At 39.7% G+C, this 24,361-nt stretch overlaps 1 protein-coding gene and 1 pseudogene across 14 annotated transcripts in view, besides 4 other annotated features; one reads left to right on the forward strand and one right to left on the reverse strand.

The window, feature by feature from the left end:
- RPS29P5 (ribosomal protein S29 pseudogene 5) lies at nucleotides 332–619 on the forward strand (annotated as a pseudogene).
- Nucleotides 2,100–2,275: a silencer, noted in NCBI's record as "fragment chr1:175892848-175893023 (GRCh37/hg19 assembly coordinates)". NCBI's record gives its function as "represses an EF-1alpha promoter that drives an FKBP-Casp9 reporter gene in an ReSE screen in K562 erythroleukemia cells {active_cell/tissue: K562}" and the evidence as "EXISTENCE:reporter gene assay evidence [ECO:0000049][PMID:32094911]".
- Nucleotides 12,903–13,767: an enhancer, noted in NCBI's record as "H3K27ac-H3K4me1 hESC enhancer chr1:175903651-175904515 (GRCh37/hg19 assembly coordinates)". NCBI's record gives its function as "activates a minimal SCP1, AML or CMV promoter by ChIP-STARR-seq in primed H9 embryonic stem cells {active_cell/tissue: H9 hESC(primed)}" and the evidence as "EXISTENCE:reporter gene assay evidence [ECO:0000049][PMID:30033119]".
- Nucleotides 14,632–15,496: an enhancer, noted in NCBI's record as "NANOG-H3K27ac hESC enhancer chr1:175905380-175906244 (GRCh37/hg19 assembly coordinates)". NCBI's record gives its function as "activates a minimal SCP1, AML or CMV promoter by ChIP-STARR-seq in naive H9 embryonic stem cells {active_cell/tissue: H9 hESC(naive)}" and the evidence as "EXISTENCE:reporter gene assay evidence [ECO:0000049][PMID:30033119]".
- Nucleotides 15,497–16,359: an enhancer, noted in NCBI's record as "H3K27ac hESC enhancer chr1:175906245-175907107 (GRCh37/hg19 assembly coordinates)". NCBI's record gives its function as "activates a minimal SCP1, AML or CMV promoter by ChIP-STARR-seq in naive H9 embryonic stem cells {active_cell/tissue: H9 hESC(naive)}" and the evidence as "EXISTENCE:reporter gene assay evidence [ECO:0000049][PMID:30033119]".
- COP1 (COP1 E3 ubiquitin ligase) overlaps nucleotides 23,219–24,361 on the reverse strand; it is a 262,456-nt gene continuing 261,313 nt past the window's right edge. For all 14 annotated transcript variants that reach the window (XM_047427793.1, XM_047427798.1, NM_001286644.2 and 11 more), the window contains one exon: nucleotides 23,219–23,558. In XM_047427793.1, the coding sequence (XP_047283749.1) occupies nucleotides 23,541–23,558 (18 nt within the window). In that variant the 3' untranslated portion in view covers nucleotides 23,219–23,540. The remainder of the gene's footprint in view (nucleotides 23,559–24,361) is intronic.

Below are 24,361 nucleotides of genomic sequence, written 5' to 3' on the forward strand. Positions count from 1 at the left end.
GAGATTTGCATCTGTACAGAGTCTGCATTGATGCAGCAGGCTTTCTCTGAGGCCCTCCCTTGTCTGGATGTAGGAAAGGTTAACTGAGAGTCTGACACCTTTCAAGGTCTGGAAAAAACATTTACCATCTACTCTGTCTGAGGGCAGCTACCTATGAGGTTCATTCATCTACAGAGCAAGACCACCTTTGCTAGTCAGGCCTCCTCTTCTTCCCCTCCTATACCCTGTCTTACCACCATAGTCAGATTTACCATTGTCATCATCTGTTTGTATCACTATAAAGGAATACATAAGACTCAGTCATTTATAAAGAAAAAAAAAGTGTATCTGGCCTTTTACCTCATTGCACTCCTGAGAGCAAGGTGGGTCACCAGCAGCTGTACTGGAGCCACCCGCGAAAATTCGGCCAGGGTTCTCGCTCTTGTCGCGTCTGTTCAAACCGGCAGGGTCTGATCCAGAAATATGGCCTCAATATGTGCCCCCAGTGTTTCCGTCAGTACGCGAAGGATATCGGTTTCATTAAATTGGACTAAATGATCTTCCTTCAAAGGATCATCCAAGGCATCTACTCAATGAAAAGCCATGATAGTTCTTTGTACATAAAATAAACATTTGAAAACAACAACAACAACAAAAAAGTGTATCTGGCTCTCAACTCGGCTGGCTGGGAAGAGTGTGTCTGGTGCCTGGTGAAAGCCTCAGGCTGCTTCCATTCATGGTGGAAGATAAAGGAGAGACGGCATGTGCAGAGATCACATGGCAAGAGAGAAAGCAAGAGAGGGGAGGTGCCAGGCTATTTTTAACAACTGGCTCTCATGAAAACTATTAGAGCAAGGATTCACTTATTACCATGAGAAAGACACCAAGCTATTCCTGAGGAATCTCTACCCCCATGACAAACACCTCCCATTAGGCCCTAATCCCAAGGTTGGGTATCAAATTTCAACATGAGGGTTTGGGGGACAAACATCCAAATATAGCAACCACCATAACCTGTTTTGGGCCAGGCTGCAAGCCCCTATTCTTTCTGTAACCTCAGTATGGTATATAAGCTTCTGAACCCTATTGGGAGGTTGGGGCAATCACTCTGTGGTTCTCTCCTCTGCTTGTTAATAGATTTGTATGCCATTTCTCCTATTCATCTGCCTTCTTGTCAGCTGATTTTAAGCGACCCTTCACAGGGCAAAGGGGAAGTTTTCCCTTGGCCCCTATAGTTTTGGCACTGTGAGCAGGATACCAAAACTCTGCTCTTCTGGAAGCCACAGACAAGAAAACTCAGGATCAGACATGCCAGCAGAAGGGTAAGAAATTTCTACCAGCTAAGCTCCTTGCCTCTCTCTCTGTGTAGTCTGGTCAAATGGATGGTAAAAATCACTGTTTCTTTTGCCCCTTTAAAATCTTGACTAATGGGAGAAAAGGATTTGTGTGACTAGTCTTTGGTGTAGTGACTCTGGTGTACCTTTTGGTATAAATATTCATATTGTTGAATCTTTTTTCTCCCCAAAATGGTATTTTTCTTTGTCTTTTTGTGTTGCCTATCATAAAGTGGGGTACCATATGGTAGAACACAAACCTAAAACCCTCATATGTCTGTTGTTCAGGCCAGCCCTGTGGATTGACCAGTTTCGCAGTTCTGACCAGACTGGCATTTATTTAGACAAACTGCTGTGAGTCTTTGATATAAAAACCAGATGAGGTTCCATTCTTATCTTGTTTTATGTCCTTGAGAGCTTGGCTTGTGAACAAGTGGGAGCATTGTTTCTTGGTCTCTGCCATCATGGCAGAGGGAGGGATACAGTTTTTGGTTCAAATTGGTGGCCAGCCTAAAAAAATTTGGAACCCTGAGACATATCAGCACACCCTATTTTTTTTTTTTTTTTTTTTTTTGAGATGGAGTCTCACTCTCTCACCCAGGCTGGAGTGCAGTGGCTTGATCTCAGCTCACTGCAACCTCCACCTCCTGGGTTCAAGCAATTCTCTGCCTCAAGCAATTCTCTGCCTCAGCCTCCCAAGTAGCTAGGATTAGAGGTGCCTGCCATCCACGCCCAGCTAATTTTTGTATTTTTAGTGGAGACAGGGTTTCACCATGTTGGCCAGGCTGGTCTTGAACTCCTGACCTCGTGATCCACCCACCTCAGCCTCCCAAAGTGCTGGGATTATAGGCGTGAGCCACCGCGCCCTGCCAGCACACACTTTTTGTTCTGAACATGTCAAACTCTCAGGGGGATTTGTCTTAATAGAAGGTCCCATTCACAAGGAGCTTTTGTTGTCTCAACCCTTGCTGTCCCTGGGAAAGTCCAATCCTAGGAGGGCATAGCCAATGTCACAGATTAATGTGTCTGTGACTGGCAGCCTCCCACAAATATGTGGGATAGTGGAGGCACTGTACACACAAACACCATCCTTAACCACATGTGGTAACAAGAGTCTTTTAGTATTTTAGCCTATTCCTGGGAGTAGATTTTGGGGGATAATTGAAACCATCTCTTCTATGCCCTCTCCAGAAAACTAAAAACTTGTTCTAAACCTGGTAAATTACCCCCTGGGCTTTCGATAAAAAGACTTATTGAATTAAGTTGCTATTGAAATAAGTACACCATTGGAAATTCTCAACGTCAGTGGCCAAATGATGGATTTGTTAAATTGGAAAGACCCCTAAATTAAAAAAAGATTTTAGACTCTCATTCTAAGCAATTGTCTTGTTTGTATTTATGAGATCAAATTTTTTAATATCATATAAAATAGATTCAGATTTGTTTATTCACAAAACAATAGACTCTACAACCACTGAAGACTTTGCATGAAAATATCTCATGTTAAGTCAACCTTTAGACACAAAATGTCAATAATTGAAAATATTCAATTATGTAAAAAGGTCCATAGACTATGGTTGGCGGAGAAATGGTCATATTTTTTAAAAGACACATAATAATGTCGTGGATAGCCTTAAAAATTGTCTTGACAAAATTGAAGAGCAAAAATCTGACTTAAAATAAAGTTAAAATCCCTTGTATTTTAATGACAGCCACTCCACCTTGTTGTCTAGTTAAAATTCCATGCTTCACCACTTTGGCCTGGGTTTGCTTCTCAGTCAGGAAACCAGTCCCTTTTGGTTTGATATTTGTGTCACTTTTCACTTTTTAGGATTATTGATTCTTTTCCCCTTTTAAACAGCTTTTGATTTCCTGTCTCCTTCTGTCTGTGGGGGCATACGAGTCTTTTTGGGTCTTTATGTGTTCACAGTCAGCTGAGAAGCTGAGATCCTAGAGAATATGGCCAGACAGATGTGGGTTGTACTCCATTTGCAGCTAGTGAAAGTTTCCTTTCTTTAACTCTCTTTGGGGTGGTTCTAGATCTTGTGAGGACTGCTTTACATCTCTTTAGAGAGGCCTCATGCATCTTTGACTAAGTCATAACCTTGGTCAAGACTTTGATTTTGGTAAGTCACTTGGGAGATCACCTTTGGTAAAAAGTGCAAAAGCCAGGAATATCAGCTGTGTGTTGCTGCTAACATCTGAAAATCAGAGATTTTAGAAGATATCTCTACGGTCAGAAGTTTAATTAAAAGCTGATATTTAAGTGGCAAATATATTTTTTAGAAGTGTTTTTGCTTTTTCTCTTTTGGATTTTGTTTCTGAGAAGTTATTTTCAGTCAACTGAAACCCATTTTAAATTAGGTTTAGTTCTCATTTGCTTCCATTCATATTGGTATGATTTTTGTTAAAATGAACAAACAAACCCCAAAACCAAAAACATGTAAACTTCATTGGCCTTTTAAAAAGCTCAAAATCTCCCCCAAATTGGCTCATCTAAGACTTGTTCTTCCATTTATTTCCACTTGTATTACTTTTCCTTTTTTCTACCTTTGACCACATTAAGAAAAATCTGAGAGACTTCTAGCAACCCTGAGACTCCTTGAGAAACACAGCAAAAACACCACACATCCTCTTTTGGGGGTCTTCTGTTTTCCTCCTGGAGTCCCTAAAGTCCTGGGCCAGTTTTTGTCAGGTCTAAAGCTCTACCCTCTTTTGTATTAAATTCCTTGATCTCTTTCATTTTGGTGGTGGTGGTGGTGGTGGTTGAGGGGGTGGTTACAAGGAATTACATTGTACTGTAAAAGAAAACTTGACCTTTGTGTGTATGGTGACTGACTAGTCACTGGTGAGAACCATAGTTTTGGAGGTGGCTGACAGCAGTTGCTGTAAATGGTTATTTCTACAAGGGGCTACTTATTTCTTTGTGAATTCAGATAAAAAGGGTACAGTTTAAACACTTAGAGGCTGTGGAAACACTTGCTACTGAGGGATAAGATTCCCATGAGAGACAGGCTGATCACAGAGTGGGCTGATTAACATGAGGTCACCCAGCAGCCTTACAGAAATGTCCTTACAGTAAGGTATACTCTGAAAGCAATACACTCTCCAGTCCCATGACATTTCCTTCTATTTAGGGTGCCAAACGACAGTGTAAAAATCGGACCCTTGAAGTTTTGGGTGTCTGCCTTCCAGTTGCACCTGCTTTCCACATATTTAGGTATTAGGCTCTGTCTTAGCCATTTATGTTGCTGTAAAGGAATACCTGAGGCTGGGTAAATTTGTTAAGAAAATAGGTTTATTTGGCTTACCATTCTGGAGGCTGCACATGAAGCATGGATCTACTATCTGCTTCTGATGATGGCTGTAGTAGTCAGGGTTCTCTAGAGGGACAGAACTTATAGGATAGATGTATATAGGAAGGAGAGTTTATTAAGGAGTATTGACTCACACAATCACAAGGTGAAGTCCCACAATAGGCCATCTGCAAGTTGAGGAGCAAGGAAGCCAGTTCAAGTCCCAAAATCTGAAAAGCAGGGAAGCCAACAGTGCAGCCTTCAGTCTGTGGCCAAAGTCCAGAGAGCCCCTGGCAAACCACTGGTGTAAGTCCAAGAGTCCAAAAGCTGAAGAACTTGGAGTCCGATGTTCAAGGGCAGGAAGTATCCACCATGTGAGAGTGATGAAGGCTGGAAGACTCAGCAAGTCAAGTCCTTCCACGTTCTTCTGCCTGCTTTTATTCTAGCCACATTGGTAGCTGATTACATGGTGCCCACTCAGATTGAGGGTGGGGTGGCCTCTCTCAGTTCACTGACTCAAATGTTAATCTCCTTTGGCAACACCCTCACAGACACACTCAGGAACAATACTTTGCATCCTTCAATTCCCATCAAGTTGACACTCAATATTAACCATCACAATGGCTTTAGGCTGATTCCACTCATAGTAAAAAAGGAAGGGTAGGCGGGGTGTGGTGGCTTACACCTGTGATCCCAGCACTTCAGCAGGCCAAGCCAGGCGGATCACCTGAGTTCAGGAGTTCGAGATCAGCCTGGTCAACATGGTGAAACCCCTATCTCTACTAAAAATACAAAAATTAGCCAGGTGGGGTGGCACACACCTGTAATCCCAGCTACTTGGGAGGCTGAGGCAGGAGAATTGCTTGAACCTGGGAGGCAGAGGTTGTAGTGAGCCAAGATCGTGCAACTGCATGCCTGGGTGACAGAGCAAGACTCTGTCTCAAAAAAAAAAAAAAAAAGAAAAAGAAAAGGAAGGGAGCTGGCATGTACAGAGCTCACATGGTGACAGAGCTGAAGCAAGAGAGAGGAGAAGGTGCCAGGCTCTTTTCAACAACCAGTTCTCACAGGAACAAAGGGTTAGAGAACTCATTTACTTCCATGAGAATGGTACCAAGCCATCCATGAGGGATTTACCTCCACAATCCACACACTTGCCATCAGGCCCCACCTCCAATGTTAGAAATCAAATTTCAACATGAGACTTCGTGGGGATAAACAAACCACAGCAGTCCCTGAAAACTACATATGCTTTTTTCGCTCCGTTTGTTATTGGGTTCTGCCCTGAGCTCAGTGGCCTAGTTGGAAAATGAAGACTAAATTTAAAACTAACTGATAAATAAAATTGGTTTCCTTGTAAAATCTTATGGTAAATTCTTATGATTTATTTTTATTCCTATGATTTTACCTTGATACCCATTTTTAATCTTCCTTTAATATACCCAAACTTCTTTAAAGAGCTTAAATTCTCTCTGTGTTTTAATATGTAAATTTGCTACCTTGTTTACTCCAAAATGTGATAAGGGCTTCTAGCCATGTGGAACAAACTTTAACCCATTCCATTTACAGAGGCAAAATTTAACTATCCTTTTAAACTAGTGAGTTTTACCTGTTTCACGGCTAAAATTTTTAAACGAAAGCTACAAAATCTATATTTGTGTATTTTTCTGTGCACATATGTACATGTCTGTGTTTGCATATTGTGTACATGGTACCAGATTGACATAAATTAATAAGTACTCATAACGTAAGTATGTCCAAATACTTTCAAGTTAGTGTGATTTTAGAAATCTTTAATAAATAAAGCTAGTTTAAAAATTATTAGTAAAATAAAATAAAAACATCTTCAAAATTTAATTCAGACATGTTTGCCTGGGTCTGTTGGTCAGACTGGTTTATATTGTCTCTAGTTGATGTTTTAGGGTCATAAAACTCTTATTTCTGTAATATTAATACTAGCTTAATTTGTCTCTGAACTTATGTCTTGGTTTTGAGTGTTTAGATTCTGGAGTCTAGACAAGTGGCCATGATGAGGACTGGGGACACATGTGTGTTCACAGTGCCTGGGCCCTATTCTCCCTGGTCCAGCTGTTTCCAGGCTATGCTAATAGGGGTCAGATCCTCCAGATACTGTCTTCACAGTCCTGTTCTCTGTACTTGGCTCTGCACCTGACACATAACAATCACAGTTACTTACTTCCCAGGTTTTCCATTAAAAATCAGGGTTATTAAGAGCTAAAATTGTAATTAATATATTATTGAAACTACTAAATATTTTAAAATTCTATACACAAAGTATAGATATAAGAAAAGTAATGTCTTTTTAATAAAACATTACAAAAAGACATCAACATATGGATTTTGTTAAAAAGAAAGTAATTTTTTCTAGTGTAAAGGTTTTCAAAAAGTTGTTTTAAATTTAAAATACAGTTGAAATGAAATAAAATATTTTATAAAATCTTATTTACAGAATCTTATTTTGTGTTGCCAAAACTAAAATTAGATGTTTATAAAGTTTTCTTAAAATTAACTTTAATATTAAGGATACATAAAAAGGATAAAATTTGTTCTTTTCAACAAAATTTTTATGTCATATTAATAATAGATAATAAAATATTTTTGTTCACCTTTTAAATAAACTACAACCCCTCCCCCACCCCAAAACTAGGAGCACATTTTCTTATTCTGTCTTTATGAAATCTTTTAATTATTTGGAAAACTGCCCCATCAAAGGAGTAAAGGTTTTGCTTTGCAAATCTTTAAGGTTGGTATGGTGGATCCCACCTAATGCCAGCACTTTGGGAGGCCGAGGCAGGTGGATTGCTTGAGGCCAGGAGTTTGAGACCAGCCTGGGCAACATGGAGAGGCCCTGTCTCTATAAAAAATACAAAAATTAGCCAGGTGTGGTGGCATGTACCTGTAGTCCCAGCTGTTTGGGAGGCTGAGGTGCAGTGAGCCATGATCATGCCACTGCACTCAGCTGGGCAATAGAGTGAGACTCTGTCTCATAAAAACAACAACAACAAAAAGTTTAAAAGAATTGATCAAGATAGGATCAACATAACTGTAAAATAGTAGTCATTTAGCCAAAGCAATAATTTAAAAATTTATTTTCTTTCTTTTTTCTTTGAGTCAGAGTCTTGCTCTGTCACCCAGGCTGGAGTGCACCCAGGCATGATCACAGCTCACTGCAGCCTGGATCTCCTTGGGCTCAAGTGATTCTCCAGCCTCAGCCTCCTGAGTAGCTGGGTCTACAAGTGTGGACCACGATACCTGGCTAATTTTTGTATTTTTTGTAGAGACAGAGTTTTGCCACATTGCACAGGCTGGTTTCAAACACCAAATCTGCCTGGTTGGTCTCCCAAAGTGGTGGGATTACAGACATGAGCCACCGTGCCTGGCCAAACCTTTCTTTTTTAATATCAAGTGTTTCAAACCATTGATATTTGACAAACTTCCCAAAATTAATTCTAACATGTCCTTTTGAACTCAAGTTAACTTTTAGACATTCCAAAAAAAAAAAAAAAAGCCCCTGGAAGTCCAACAGAGACATGTTAGTCTTATTTGGTATGTAAAAGTCATACAGGAAGTATTGTTAATAAGAAATAGTGTTTAACAATCTCTGAGTTATAGTTGTATAAATGTGTTAATATGTGTTCCAAAATTGTGTTAGATTCCAAAAATTTTGATATGTCTTGTTATATGTTATCAGTCATAGTTATGATTATCCTGTTAAATTGTTGTTTGCTACAGAAATAACAAATTTCCTTGTCAATTGTATCTTTAATGATGGCTATTCTAAATTTTGGTTATTCACAACTATTGTTTCACTCTGTTTCTTCACAAAAATGCAGTTTATAATCAGCTACTATTCAAACATTGTGCTTCTTCAAGTAAATTCATGGATAGGAAAGTGACAGATACTCTGAAATAATGACCTCTGCTTATGACTGTGAGATCATATAATTGGATCGGGTAAAAATTCTAAAACCTTCAAAGAGAAAAACTGGACTCATAAAATGCTAACCTAACATCAAGCAGAAGAACTAATTACATGAAACTGAACTAATGCAAGGCAAATGATTTTAAAGTTTTCACTTTAAAACATTACTGGTTCTTGCCAGGTACAGTGGCTCACGCCTATAATCCCAGCACTTTGGGAGGCCAAGGCAGGCAGATCACCTGAGGTCAGGAGTTTGAGACCAGCCTGACCAACATGGAGAAACCCTGTCTCTGCTAAAAATACAAACTTAGCCAAGTGTGGTGGTGCATGCCTGTTATCCCAGCTACTCGGGAGGCTGAGGCAGGAGAATCACTTTAACCCGGGAGGCAGAGGTTGTGGTGAGCCAAGGTCGCTCCATTGCACTCTAGCCTGGACAACAAGAGTGAAATTCCGTCTAAAAAAAAAAAAAAAAAAAACTTGTTCTTTTTATGTTATTTTCTAGTCAAGAAATTTTTTTCCTCTTATATTGCTTACAGCAATTGAGTAAAGTTAACTTTTGTGAACAAAATTGAAACATTTACCTTTCTCTCTACCCGATTCCTCCAGAATGCAGAAACTATTTGTGAGTATTTTTATTTTATGGCAATAGATGTATTTGTGTAAGTTTAATAAGAATCTATTTTCTTCAGTGACAGGACACAATTACAGACACTGGTTATTTTACCAAGGCTTTGACTGGAATGTCACATTTTAAATGTGACCAGACTGCTTTGAGGAATTGAGGATGACTTTAAAGCCAATAGACTAAAAAAGAGTGGCCTACTATCTTTTTTTTTTTTTTGAGACAGAGTTTTGCCCCATCACCCAGGCTGGAGTGCAATGGCACAATCTCAGCTCGCTGCAACCTCTGCCTCCCGGGTTCAAGTGATTCTCCTGCCTCAACCTCCCAAGTAGCTGGGATTACAGGTGCTGGCCACCATTCCTGGCTAATTTTTGTGTTTTTAGTAGAGATGGGGTTTCACCATATTGGCCAGGCCAGTCTTGAACTCCTGACCTTGTGATCTGCCTGCCTTGGCTTCCCAAAGTGCTGGGATTATAGGTATGAGCCACCGTGTCCAGTCATCTGTTTTTGTTTTTGTTTTTTTTAAGTTCTGGGGTACATGTGCAGGATGTGCAGGTTTGTTACATAGGTAAACGTGCCATGCTGATTTGCTGCACCTATCAACCCATCACCAAGTTATTAAGCCCAGCATGCAGCAGCTCCTTTCACTAATGCCCTCCCACTCCTGCCCTCCCCCAACAGGCCCCTCCCTGTGTCCATGTGTTCTCATTGTTTAGCTCTCATTTATAAGTGAGAACATGTTTCTGCATTAGTTTGCTGAGGATAATGGCTTCCAGCTTCATCCATGTTCCTGCAAAGGACATGATCTAGTTCTTTTTTATAACTGCATAGTATGCCATGATGTATAGGTACCACATTTTCTTTATCTAAAGACTAACCTACTATCTTGCCTCAACTGTTCCCTTTCAAGGTTCCTAACCTTGTGATAAGAAAAAAATGTCACTTTTTGACAGGTACAGGAACTTCAAGATATTTTAGGAACAAAAAAAAAAGAAAAAAGAAAGAAAGAAAGAAATTAATTCACCAAATCTGTACAAGTATTACAAACTTTGGCTTGGCTCCTAAACATTAAGAGCATTTTTAAAGTCTAATCTGAGATTCCTTATGAAAAAGTTCCAGCAAAACCAACTTGAAAAGACCCTATATGGCCAATCATTATTATTGCTGTACTTTATATAAATAATCAGGCTAAGTACAATATGACTAAAACTTATTTTGCAAATGTATTGGTTTCACTATGATTTATCTTTGGTACAAATGGGAGATTATAGAGAAAAAATATGTTTTAGAAGAAAACTATAGTACATGTGACATTAGATTCTAGCCCTGACCATTGTTTTTTAGTTATTATTTGTCTACAATTTGATCTAAATGCTAAATTCTTTCCTGGCTATAAGTCTCCAAACCGACATTTTCTAATTTTTCTCCTATTTTTCTGACTTGAAATCACTAAAAAATAAAACTGCTTTTCTTAATGCCCTACAAACTGAAGCTAGAAAACTTGATATAAACTTCCAGAGAAATCACCACAGCAACTTGCAATATAAACAGCCTTTGTGTCTGTTGATGCATGGACTACTTAAAAAGTTCACTAGAACACCTGATTCTATAGTATAGGAAAATGTACAAAGCCAGAAAATCCAGAACTTGAAACTCTAGAACTAGTTTATAGACAACTCTATGAATTAACTTTTTTCTTCTGTTTCCAATAAAATGTCTTTTATTAAAGATCTGTTTGCCTGCATCATATATAGAACCCTAGCTCATCTACGATACCACCTCTTGGAATGAGACACAGCAATTTAACTGAACTGACCTATTCTCAGGACTAAGAAACTAATTCAAGAAGATATGAGATGATCTATTTAAATTTGCTCTCTTCTGCTTATCCCAATTTGTTCCTCACCTCCTTTCCAATCTCTTATCTACCAGCCTCTAAAACAAATCTCTCTAAAGCTATCAAGTTGGTTCTTAACATGAGAAACTTTCTGAAAGAAAAATTTCAAAAGGTAGGGCAGGGTTGGGGGTGGTACTAAAGGAAATAAAAATCTTTTTTCCAAAATATATTTCTTTGAGCTATTTTGAGATGGTTTTTCAGAGGACTTGAAACAGAAGTAGTCCTGCAAAACTGTCTTGTGTGGGGGAGATTCGCATCTGTATAGAATCTGCACTGATGCAGCAGGCTTTCTCTGAGGCCCTCCCTTGTCTGGATCTAGAAAGGATGAACTGAGAGTCTGACACCTTTTTTTTTTTTTTTTTGAGATGGAGTCTCACCCTGTCACCCAGGCTGGGATGCAATGGTGTGATCTCCACTCACTGCAACCTCTGCCTCCCGTGTTCAAACAATTCTCCTGCCTCAGCCTCCGGAGTAGCTGAGATTACAGGTGCCCGCCACCATGCCCAGATAGTTTCTGTACTTTTAGTAGAGACGGGGTTTCACCATGTTGGCCAGGCTGGTCTCCAATTTCTGATCCCGTGATCCACTCCCTGTGGCCTCCCAAAGTGTTGGGATTACAGGCATGAGCCACCAGCACCCGGCTGAGTGTCTGACACATTTAAAGGTCTGAAAGAAACATTTGTCATCTATTGTCTCTGAGGGCTGCTACCTGTGATGTTTCATCTACAGAGAAAGACCACCTTTGTTAGCCAGGCCTCCTCTTCTCCCAGTCTCAAACCCTGTCTTGCCACCATAACCCCCATACCTGTTGGCCCCTACATCTGTTGAAAATTCCAGAGAAATACCTAATGTAGATGATGGGTTGATGGGTGTAGCAAACAACCATGGCCTGTGTATACCTATGTAACAAAACCTGCACATCCTGCACATGTATTCCAGAATTTAGAGTATAATTAAACAAAAATTAAAAAAAGAAAAAAAAGAAAATTCCAGAATAGCCATTTGACCTTCCTTTTTTTTTTTTTTTTTTTTTTTGGTAATTTTTATACTTTATACTTCTTTGTTCCCTATAATAAAAAATAAAAAAACTGAGGAGTGACTAGATTTTAATATGCATATGCTAATGCTGCCCTATATTCATGGAGTGCTTTTTAATTTCTAAGTGCCAGAAGCCTTTCCAGATATATTACTAAAACTGTTCCACAAAGCTTTGCAATTCAACAGCACAGAGCACCACATTCCATTTCTAGGAATAGAAGGCTGCCTTTCCCATGGGAACCATGGAGTGGAGCTCATGGGAGTCTCTCCTGGGACTCACCAAATGGAATTTGGGAAGGGGAAGTGAGGACTTCTAAAGTGTAAACACTGACTAGAGCAAGCTTGTCCAACCCATAACGTGCAAGCCACATGCAGCCCAGGACGGCTTTGAATGTGGCCCAACACAAATTTGTAAACTTTCTTAAAGCATTAAGATTTTTCTGCAATTTTTTTTTAAGTTCATCAGCTATCGTTAGTGTTAGTGTATTTTATGTGTGGCCCAAGACAATTCTTCTTCCAGTGTGGCCCAGGTAAGCCAAAAGACTGGACACCCCTGGACTAAAGTTTAGTCTCTAAATATTAAGAATATTTTAAAAAATGGCTACCTGTTAATAGTAGCTAATTTAGCAGAAAAGTAATTTATTAATTCTTTCAAAATTTAACCCCTCGAAATTAGCCAGTGCACAAACATTAGCTATAAGATATGAATACTTATAAGAGATTTGGTCATTCCAAAAAAGAATCAGGTTCCAAGTCTCCATACAAGTGCTACAAGCCTGAGAAACTGCCTTATATTCAGAAAAGAAATTTCAATAGCTCAGGGTGAAAGAACCAGAAAGGTGAGGGAGAAAAAGGGAAAGAAAAGGGGAAAAAATTAAAAGCCAGCCTTGTAAAATATCCTGTTTCCCCACATTCAACAGGCTATATCTTAAGCACAAATCTTTCAGAGTATTCAATGAAAATAATCTCAACCTCAGACCTCTAAATTATCTTTGTTATAGATACATTAATAGAACTGGGCTGGGCACAGTGGCTCATGCCTATAATCCCAGCACTTTGGGAGACCAAGGCAGGCAGATTGCATGAGACCAGGAGTTTGAGACCTGTCTGGCTACCATGGCAAAACACCATCTCTACTAAAAATATAAAAATTAGCTGGGCATGGTGGTGCACGCCTGTAATCCCAGCCACTTGGGAGGCTGGGGCATGAGAATTGCTTGAAGTTCTGCAAGAGGTGGAAGTTGCAGTGAGCTGAGATCATGCCAATACACTCCAGCCTGTGTGACAGAGGGAGACTCTGTCTCAAAAAAAAAAAAAAAAGAAAAAGAAAAAGAAAAGAGAAGCCAACACTGACAGATCACCCTCATGAGGTCAGGAGTTAGAGACCAGCCTGACCAACAGGGTGAAATCCCATCTCTTCTAAAAATACAAAAGTTAAGTAGGCGTGGTGGGTCATGCCTGTAATCTCAGCTACTTGGGAGGCATGAGAATCACTGAACCTGGGAGGCAGAAGTTGCATTGAGCTGATACTGTGCAACTGCACTCCAGCAGGGGCGATGGAATGAGACTCTGTCTAAAAAACAAAAACAAAAACAAAGAAACTCTGAAAGTTCTGTCTCCAGAGCTTCATTTATTTGTTTGTTTGTTTGAGACAGGGTTTCACTTTGTTGTCCAGGCTGGAGTGCAGCGGCCTGATCATGGCTCACTGCAGCTTCACCTCCCAGGCTCAAGTGATCCTCCTACCTCAACCTCCCAAGTAGCTGGGACCACAGGAAGGCACCATCACACCAGGCTTTTTTTTTTCCTCCTTTTTTTCTTTTTTAAATCTTACGTAGAGACAGGGTCTCACTTTGTTGCTCAGGCTGGTCTCAAACTCTTGGGCTCAAGCCATCCTCCCACCTCAGCTTCCTGAAGTGTTGGGATTATAGGCACAAACCACCCTGCCCAACATTACCGAGGTTTAACAGGAAAAGTGTTCCTTGGTTCTCTGAAAGCACACATACCAAGGTATAACAGTGCTGTGTACACTCCTGTGGAAATTGCATGCAAGCCAACAACAACAAACCTCTTAGTTGGGTGGTATGCCCTCTAAAATGGCCTTCCAGGCTCCTGTGCTCCACACCATTGTGGAAAGAGAATTGCATTCTGTGGACGTACTTTTATCCACTAGAATGAACGCAAGCTCAGCAAAGTTTGGATTTTCATCTTTTTTTTTTTTTCTTTCTCCTGCTACTGCTGTCTAGTCAGCACCTAGAACAGGGGTCAGCAAATTGTGGCCTGCAAGCCAAATCCAGCTTGTGGATTTTTATTTTTTTTTATATGGCTCATGAGAGATAAATGTTTTTACATTTTTAAATGCTTGAAAAAAAATTTCTGTGACACATGACAACTCACACTTCAGTGGTTTTGTTAGCAGTGTGACATTGTGAAATACATATTTGGTCTTTGTCCCCTTTCCTGGAACACTCTTGGAATCTCCAAAGCGTTAAGTGTCTTTTTGTATGCTAATCAGTTGACTAATGACTGGATGGTAATTTCAGGATGGGGGCTGGTCACTGGAAAAACCAAGGCATGATTAGAAAGTTGGGACTTTCAGCCCCACCCATTCTGACATCTGGGGATGGGAGAGGGACTGAAGGTTGAGTTGATCACCAATGATTTCATCAATCATGCCTAGGTAATGAAGTTCCTATAAAAATATCTGAAAGATTGGGTTTGTGGAGCTTCTGGATAGCAGAATGCATCTATGCGACAGGAGGGGGTACACTCCAGCTCTACTGGGATGGAAGTGCAGGTGCTCAGGACCTTTCCAGACCTCATCCTATGTAGACCTTCATTTGGCTGCTCCTTTGTATCCTTCAAAATATCCCTTTTAATAAACTGGTAAACTTAAGTGTTTCCCTAGGTTCTGTGAGCTGCTCGAGAAAATTAAACCCAAAGAAGGGTTCATGGGAACCCTGATTTACAGTTTGTGAAAAGAACAGGTAAAACCACCCAGAGCTTGCAACTGACATTGGAGGTGTGGGTAGGGGGGAAGTCTTGTGGGACTGAGCCGTCACTTGTGGGATCTGATGCTATATTTTTTACAGGTGGTTAGACAGGCATGCGTGGAGCAGAAGAGGGCTATTCTCCCACCCACTAGGAATGTTGGGTGATGGTTCAACAATTATCACATTGCCTCTCTAAAAGTGATAAATTGGCAGCTGGGCACCAGGGATAGTTCACTTGTTGATGGTCCACATCTGTTGCACTGAAGTGTTAACTGAATGCAGACACCAGGGAGATGCAACTTCCCAGGCATGCGTATTAAGAGACAAAATGGCGGAGTATGACCTTCAGGGGGCACACCACTGGAAAGAGGAAGAGAGCCGCAGGCATGTGTACAACTTCCTAAACACACTGCGCATGCTCACCTCCCAAGGGTAAGGACACTGCATGGGGGCAGGCCAACCTAAGGGAAGAATCATGGGAAAGGGGCCAGCCTAAAAGCCCTAGAATCAAAGTTAAACACGGCACTTGATGTTGGTGCCTGCTTGGGTCTCTTCCAAGTGTATTTTCTTTGCTTTCCTGTTCTAAAGACTTTTTAAATAAACTTCCACTGCTGCTCCGAAACTTGCCTCGGTCTCTTTTCTTGCCTTATGCCTGTTAGTCAAATTCTTTCTCCTGAGGCGGCGAGAACTGAGGTTGTTGCAGACCGGTACAAATTCACTGCCAGTAACTCGGATATCTTCCATCAGTAACATCTCCAGGTAGATAGTGTATGAACTGAATTGAATTAGAGGACACCCAGCCAGTGTCCACTGCAGAATTGACTGGTTGTTGAGAGTATAAAAAAAGCACTTTCTCCTCTCTATCCTCAGCCATACTCATTTGTTTACATTTTCTCTAGGGCTGCTTTCACATACTACAATAGCAGAGTTAAGTAGTTGTGATGACGACTTTCTGGCCCACAAAGCCTAAAATATTTACTATCTAGCTATTTACAGAAAAAATGTGCCGACTCCTATCCTGGAAAAGAGACTACCACACAGTAAGCATTAAAATTGATTTTTTTTTTTTTTTTTTTTTTGAGACGGAGTCTTGCTCTTTCGCCCAGGCCGGACTGCAGTGGCGCTATCTTGGCTCACTGCAAGCTCTGCCTCCCGGGTTCACGCCATTCTCCTGTCTCAGTCTCCTGAGTAGCTGAGACTACAGGCGCCCGCCACCACGCCCGGCTAATTTTTTTTTTTTTTTTTTTTTGTATTTTTAGTGGAGACGAGGTTTCACCGTTAGCCAGGATGGTCTCGATCTCCTGACCTCGTGATCGGCCTGCCTCGGCCTCCCAAAGTGCTGGGATTACAGGTGTGAGTCGCTGTGCCCGGCCTAAAATTGACTTTTTAATTAAAAAATTTTTAAACTTTTTTTTTGAGACAATCTCACTCTATTATCCAGGCTAAAGTGCAGTGGCATGATCTCAGCTCACTGAACCTCCGCCTCCCAGCCTGAAGCCATCCTCCCACCTCAGCCTTCCTGAAGTAGCTAGGATTACAGGTGTGCACCACCACCACATCCAGCTAATTTTTTGTATTTTTTGTGGAGATGGGATTCTGCCATGTTGCCCAGGCTGGTCTCAAACTCCTGAGCTCAGTCTGCCCGTCTCGGCCTACCGAAGTACTGGTATCACAGGGGTGAGCCACCATGCCTGGCCCACTAAAATTTTTATTGAAGGAATGAAACCACCATATTGCAAGTGGTTCAACAACTTTACTCATTCCTTCGGAATAACTGCTCATACCCATTACAAACTACTAGCTAAGGTATCAAAGAAGGGAGTGAACTGAATTATTAAGCTGCTTTTCCAATGAAGCTCACACAAACAATTTTCTAGGATAAATCATTCTTTCAGGGCCAGGTGTGGTGGCTCATGCCTGTAATCCCAACACTTTGGGAGGCCAAGGTGGGAGGAGTTTGAGACCAGCCTGGGCAATATAGGGAGAGCTCATCTCCACAAAAAATTAAAAGAATTAGCTGGGCATGATGGTGTGTGCCAGTAGTCCCAGCTACTCAGGAGGCTATGAAAGGAAGATTGCTTGAGCAAGGGAAGTTGAGGCTGCAGTGAGCTGTGACTGCACCACTGCACTCCAGCCTGGGCAAGAGAGTAAGACTCTGTCTCAAAAAAAAAAAATTCTTTCAGCTGTTTACCAAAGGTGATTATTTCACACAATAATTAACGTCAACTGCTACCATGTTCGGGAACTTGAACTTAAAATTCATGAGAAATTCTACCTACTTCCAGCCTGAGACCTCTTTCAGAATTTAGGCACTAGGAAGTTTGACTCTAAAACTGAACAAATTTGTGATTTGTTCTTTGAAGTAACAAATTAAAATCATACATGAATGGAAAAAGTTCTTGATTCTCATATTGAGAAGCTGTAATGATCTCTGGGAAAAAGAATAAATAAATAACTACCAGCACTCAGATATCTGAGACTAAATCACCAAGAATGACTATGGACTTTGTACAGCATAATCTTAGAGATAAATATGGAGTGAAGAGGTTTACCATCTTCTTCAAAACGACACAATTTCTTAATGACAAAGTTGGGATTGAAATGTAAATCTCTAAACTCCCTATTCTTTGTCCCTATTTTAAGTTGACAACTGGAACAGATCACTGATTTATAATCTATACTTCTCCAGCTTTCACTCCCATTACTTTGTCTTCCACTTTGAGTATAATAATCCTCATACTTTAAAATTTAAAAAATTTTTGATAAACTTTTAATTTTGGAACAAGGTTTAGATGTACAGAAACATTGCAAAGGTAGGAGAGTTCCCATATACTCACACTCCACTTCTTCTGTTAACATCTTATGTTGGTATGGTATGTGTGTTACAATCAATGAACCAATGTGGACACAATAATATCAAGTCCATACTTGATTCAGATTTGTTTTTATGTAATGTCTTTTTCTGCTTTAAAATCCCATCCAGTTATAGCACAGTAAAGTCTCCTTAGGCTCTTCATGGCTATGACAGATGCCCAGACTTTGTTTCTGATGACTTTTGACAAAACTGTCACTGAGCACTGATGAGGTATTGAAGAACTAATTTGTGGTATTTAGTATCAGGTACTATAGTATAGTGGTCCCCAACCTTTTTAGCACCAGGGACCAGTTTCGTGGAAGACAGTTTTTCCATAGACCAGACGTCTATGGAAACTCAATAATGACTTTAAAAATTAAGAATCTTCCAAGATTAACTGTGGAGAACTCTATTAGCTGAAACAATCAGAGGTGGGGTAGTGGTTTGGGAATGAAACTGTTCCATGTCAGTTCATCAGGCATTAGATACTCATAAAAAGCATGCAACCTAGATCCCTCACATGTGCAGTTCACAATAGGGACTATACTCCTATGAGAATCTAATGCCGCCACTGATCTGACAGGCGGCGGAGCTCAGGCAGTGATGCTCACTTACCCACCACTCACCTCCTGCTGTTCGGCCTGGTTCCTAACAGGCCACGGACTGGTACCAGTCTGCAGCCTGGGGGTTGGAGACCCCTGCTATAGCAGGTTGTCTCTCAACAGGGATTCATCTGGTGTTTTTCTCAGGCTGGGGTTATGTGGTTATTTTTGGAAGAAAGATCAGAGTTAAAATGCCATTTTTCATTGCATCTTATCAAGAGTATATACTATCAACATGACTTACCACTTTGGATGTTGACCTTGATCACCTGGCCAAGGTAGTCTTTGTAAGGCTTCTCAATTTTAAATTGACTCTTTTTTTCTCCTCTTCCATATTGTACTCTTTGGGAGGGAAGTCAATAAGCAGAGACCATACTGGAGTGGAAAGTTATGCTCCATCTCTTTGATTTACCTACATAAATTATTTGGAATTCTTCATGGAAAATTTGTCTCTTCTCTATATATTTATTCAATCATTTGTTTATATCAACATGGATTCACATATTTATTTTATACTTTGGGTTATAATTCCATGTTACTTCATTTCGTTGTTCAAATTGTTCCAGTTTTGGCCATGGGAGCTACTCATACTTTAAAAATCTGCTTCCATTGGGCTTAGATGTTCCTTTGCCTCTTATAGCTTAATTCTCACACAAAAAAAAAATCCTGAAAACTGCCTCTACTAGTCCTTAATCTCCCACTACTCTATGTTTTTCCTGCATATACCTAAAGATTTTGTGTATTATGGTACTTACACCCAGTATACTTATCTGCTTCTCCCACTGAACAATAAGCTTCTTGAGGGTAGGGATCAAATCTTATTTATATCTATTCTTAGTACACAGTACATAGTTCCCTGCACAAAGGGGGAGCTCAACAAATATGTCTAGAATATCACTATGATTTTCTCTTCAGTCCAACAGTCCAGAAATGCCTAATACATTAACCAGAAGCCACATGTGGATTTGTTAGCTAACTGCTCTGAGAGGAACAACAAATTTCTACTGTCGGTAAAGTTTTAATGTTAGCCATGTAACATAATAGGCTCAAGATCTGAGGTAGCACCTCCTAATGTTTCATTTCTAAGTATGCAGACTTCTAATAACCCCAGTTTTATCTGCATAATTGTATTAAAGGCAATGACTAATTACTCTTATATTTAGGACCAGGGCTGGAGAGTTTCTAGGTCTGCTGACTTAGAGAACTGGTCCCCCAAAATAGCTCATGAACATTTTGGTCATGAGTTTCCCAAGTGACTTACTGCTGGCTGAAGATTGTATAACCACCGAAGAAATAAATTTGCTGAGTTACACTCTTTGTTGTTCACAACTTATAAGACAATGACTTTAAAAATTCAGAATCTTCCAAGATTAAGAATTAAGATTGTGGTGAACTCTATAGCTGAAACAAGCTTTTAGGTTGGATAATGCTGCAACCTCACTCCAAGTCTCCATAAACTCTTGACTGATCACCTTCCTAACTGCACTCTTGCCCCCATCTATCCATTCACCATAAATCAGATTATGCCATCCCCTTTAGCCCCTCCCTTTAATGCTTTTATGACCAAATTCAAATTCTCAGTTACGTTCTAGAAGGCTCATTGTACTAGGCTCCTCCATTTCTTTCAATTCAGCCTATACTTCTCTCTTCATTGTTCAGGCTAATCTTTCTGAAGTTGTAGCACAGTCCCATATGTTTTTTGATATTTAATAGTTCAGTCTTCTTGTAAGAACTGTATAAAATTCTCCAATCTTGGCTGGGTGCAAGTACAGTACTTACGGAGGCCAAGGAGTTGCAGACCAGCATAGGCAACATAGCGAGACCCTGTCTCTACAAAAATAAACTGTGGTCTCAGGTACTTGGAAGGGTAAGGCAGAAGGACTGCTTGAGCCCCAAGGAGTTTATGAGCAGGGAGCTATGACTGTTACCACTGCACTGCAGCCCACGTAACAGTGCGAGAACCTGTCTCAAAAAAAATTCTTCAAGCTTGGGCTGGCATGGTGGTTTGCACCTGTAATCCCACCACTTTGGGAGGCTGAGGCAGGAGGACTGCTTGAGGACAGGAGTTCAAGATCAGCCCGGGCAACAGAGAGAGATCCCATCTCTATTTAAAAAAGAAAAAAAGTGTTCCATCTTAATGTCTGAGAAACCCCTACAAGTCCACTTAAGTAAAGATTAAATTGGAACATTTTGACAAGCCATACTGTTGAGTGAGGAGTTTTTGGTGTTAAAATGTATATTACCTTTAAGTTATTTAATAGTATGTTATTTTTGCAAGGAACAGTAATATTAGTTTGATCTTGAAATCTCACAGACATGATCTCAAATTTAAAAATGGTATTTATAAGAAAAAATTAGAAAAAAACTTGAAGCACTGCCTTCTTTAAAAACGAAATTGCTTTGATAACTACATGTACCTTATTGTATTCTTACAAACATGTAGAAATTAAATGGCCCCACAATGTAGACGGTTAGAAATAAACATTAAAAAAGACCAAATAAAATAAGCACAATAATATGCTTCTACTTAAATGCATTCAGGAGGCATTAACTCTCTGCTTCGTATTTGGAAGATTTTCTACATTTGAATATTCTTTCTACATCTTTGCAAAAGGTCCTTTATTAATCTTGGAAACAATGTTCAACTAATATTGTTCTGGTGGGTGACCTGTAATTTTTGAACGATACTAGCTTTTCCTCTCAGAATTGAGTCTAAAAGTTTATCAGGTCTTAACTCACAGAATCAAGATACACTGCTCTTGATCTGAAAATGAAAAAAAAACTAAAAAAAACTAAAAAAAAAAAAAAAAAAATTCACCTGACTTTGAGGAACTGGTTTGGTGGTAAAACCAGATCTTGCACTGATACAAAACTGTTTTTGGTTAATTAACCCCATGTAATGTGAACATTTATGCATTCTGCTACAGAAGTATTAATGTGTTTGATTAGGGACTACTGCTCTAGACTCTGTTAGAGGTTGTTACATAATATTCAGTATATATACTCTATTAGTTTTCTAATACTTGTGTAGTCTTTGTTGCCCAGGCTGGAGTACAGTGGTGCAATCTTGGCTCACTGAAACCTCTGCTTCCTGGGCACAAGTGATTCTCCCATCTTGGCCTCCCAAGTAGCTGGGATTACAGGCGCCCGCCACCATGCCTGGCTAATTTTTGTATATTTAGTAGAGATGGGGTTTCACTATGTTGGCCAGGCTGGTCTCAAACTCCTGACCTCAAGTGATCCACCTGCCTTGGCCTCCCAAAGCACTGGGATTAACAGGCATGAGCCACCGTGCCTGGCCATACTTGAAAATTTCTAAGTTCTATGATACATTTGGCCCCAAGTATTTCAGATAAGAAGATGTGAACCTGTAACAGGTTTCAGTAATCTTGAGTGGAAGAATACATTGGGATATTCTGATTACCTTCATCGTGCATTATCTTTATTCAACCAAGTGTTTATTATTGTATTATTATTATTATTATTCAAGTGTTTATTTTTATAAAATGTGTGGTGTATAAGTATGTTTATAACTTTTTTTTTTTTTTGAGACAGAGTCTTGCTCTGTTGCCCAGGCTGGAGTGCAGTGGCATTATCTCGGCTCACTGCAAGCTCTGCCTCCCAGGTTCACACCACTCTCCTGCCTCACCCTCCCGAGTAGCTGGGACTACAGGTGCCGCCACCACGCCTGGCTAATTTTTTTTTTTTTTGTATTTTTAGTAAGGACAGGGTTTCACCATGTTAGCCAGGATGGTCTCGATCTCCTACCTCGTGATCTGCCTGCCTCGGCCTCCCAAAGTGTTGGGATTACAGGCGTGAGCCACCGCGCCTGGCCTTGTTTATAACTTTTAAAGCAACTCTTTACATTACTTTTGCTTGGCTTGCTGGTCTTCTTTCCTTTTACAATTTGAAAATAATTTATAAAAACCAACTAGATAATCTAAGTGACCATATGGCTTAGAAATTTGGATAACAGGGCTTTAAATCCTTTTCCTCTAAGTTAAGGGCTGTTGAACTATAGTCTGTGGGCCAAATCTGACCCTCTGCCTACTTCCCAGCCATGCACATTTGTTCACATGTGTCTGTGGCTGCTTTCCTGCTATACTGGCCAAACTGAATAGTTGTGCCACTGACCATATAACCTGCAAAACCGAAAATATATCCGGCCCTTTACAGAAAAAGTTTGCTGACTCCTGCTCCAAGACATTACTCAGCCTAGGATGGTACTAAAAGCAATGGACTAGTTGGTTTGGTATACATTTAGGGCTTATGGTATGTTTTTGTAACATTTCAAAGGCAAAGACAGAGCTAGCTGTCAGAGACTAACATTCTCTTTCTGTTTAAATGTGGTCTCAATAGATCAAAATTTTAGATCTTAGCCAGATTCAGAGAGACTGGACAACATGGTACTTGCTGATGATATAAATCTGGTCAGAGAATGAAGAAAGAATTTTATAAAGTAATCTTTCTATCTACCGTAAACAGTAAATTCACTGGCAGAAATCTATGTACTTTATATTTTGTTTACATTGATATGTGTAATTCCCAAAGAGGTTGGGAAATACGAACTTTACAAATTATTCACTGTTACATTATAGTTCACATATGCTACTTCTTAAAAAGAGTTATCTCTTGCTGCATTTGACAAAAACTTTCCAAGCTCAACTGTGGCTCAATAAACTTTTATTGTTTTGTTATTTATTTTTATTCAAAAGAATTTGTTTCCCTATCACAAAAATTAGATAACACCACCAAGAGCAGCAATGTCCATGGAGTTACATTGATGGTGGAGAGTTGGCTGGGTATTCCCAATGTCCCAAAGGTCATAAAGGAGGGAAAAGAAAAAAAGAAAAAAATATTCAAAACAAATCCAAAACCCATGATGACTTTGGGGAGAGACATCACATGACATTTTCTGTTTCTTCTCTCATTGTCAGCTGCAGATGTATTTCAGCAGGATCAAGTACAATTTGACTTGAGTTAACCCTTCATACCAATTCTAGCACCTAATTGGGGGGAAAAAAGGATCCATTTAATAAAATCATTTAAGATATAAAAGGAATTTAATGACTCTTTACTATATTTACCAATAGAAAAGCAAATTTAAAAAACGTTTCCCAACTGGGAAAATGCCAAAGAATTTGAATGGATTGGACATTAATCCTTTTTGACCTGCAGCTTAACAGCTGCATGAACTCTTTCAGATGAGCTATCTCCACAGTTAACTTGGAAGCCTTCAAGGTAAACTACATAAAACACATGGAAAAATAAATTGGCTAATGCATAGCACAAATACATTTTTGGAATATATGTTGGAATCTTTCCACATTCTTATGAAAGTTTTAAGTATCCTTGTTTAGGATTTTAATCTGTTTTCTTCTTTCATCAATAAACACTGTTTATAATGATCAAGGTTACAGGACCTAAAGTCTTGCTCTTTCCTGCTGCTTCATCCATTTCTAGCCAATCATCTAGCGTCCAGATACTTTGTATTTTTAGAATTAAAGTAGTATACTGTCATAAAAAAGTAAGTTGTGATATTGCTAAAACTAAGAGGAAGCAAATGGCTAAGAAAGATCACGGAACAGGAGGATAGTTATGAGACACTGTCAAAAAGAATTACATTAGATGGACACTACAACACTCACTAAGTAGCAAATATTTAAACGTGCAACCTTTCCCCTGCTGCTCAGCTAAGGCTTGACTAATATATGTGCTTCCATAATGCTTTTGTCTTTATATTAGGTAACTAGGCTACTTAACATAAGAAGTCAATGATGCTGAACAAAATCTTAGATTTGTCAGTGGG

This window comes from Homo sapiens, chromosome 1 (genome assembly GCF_000001405.40).
Source record: "Homo sapiens chromosome 1, GRCh38.p14 Primary Assembly".
Classification (NCBI taxonomy): domain Eukaryota; kingdom Metazoa; phylum Chordata; class Mammalia; order Primates; family Hominidae; genus Homo; species Homo sapiens.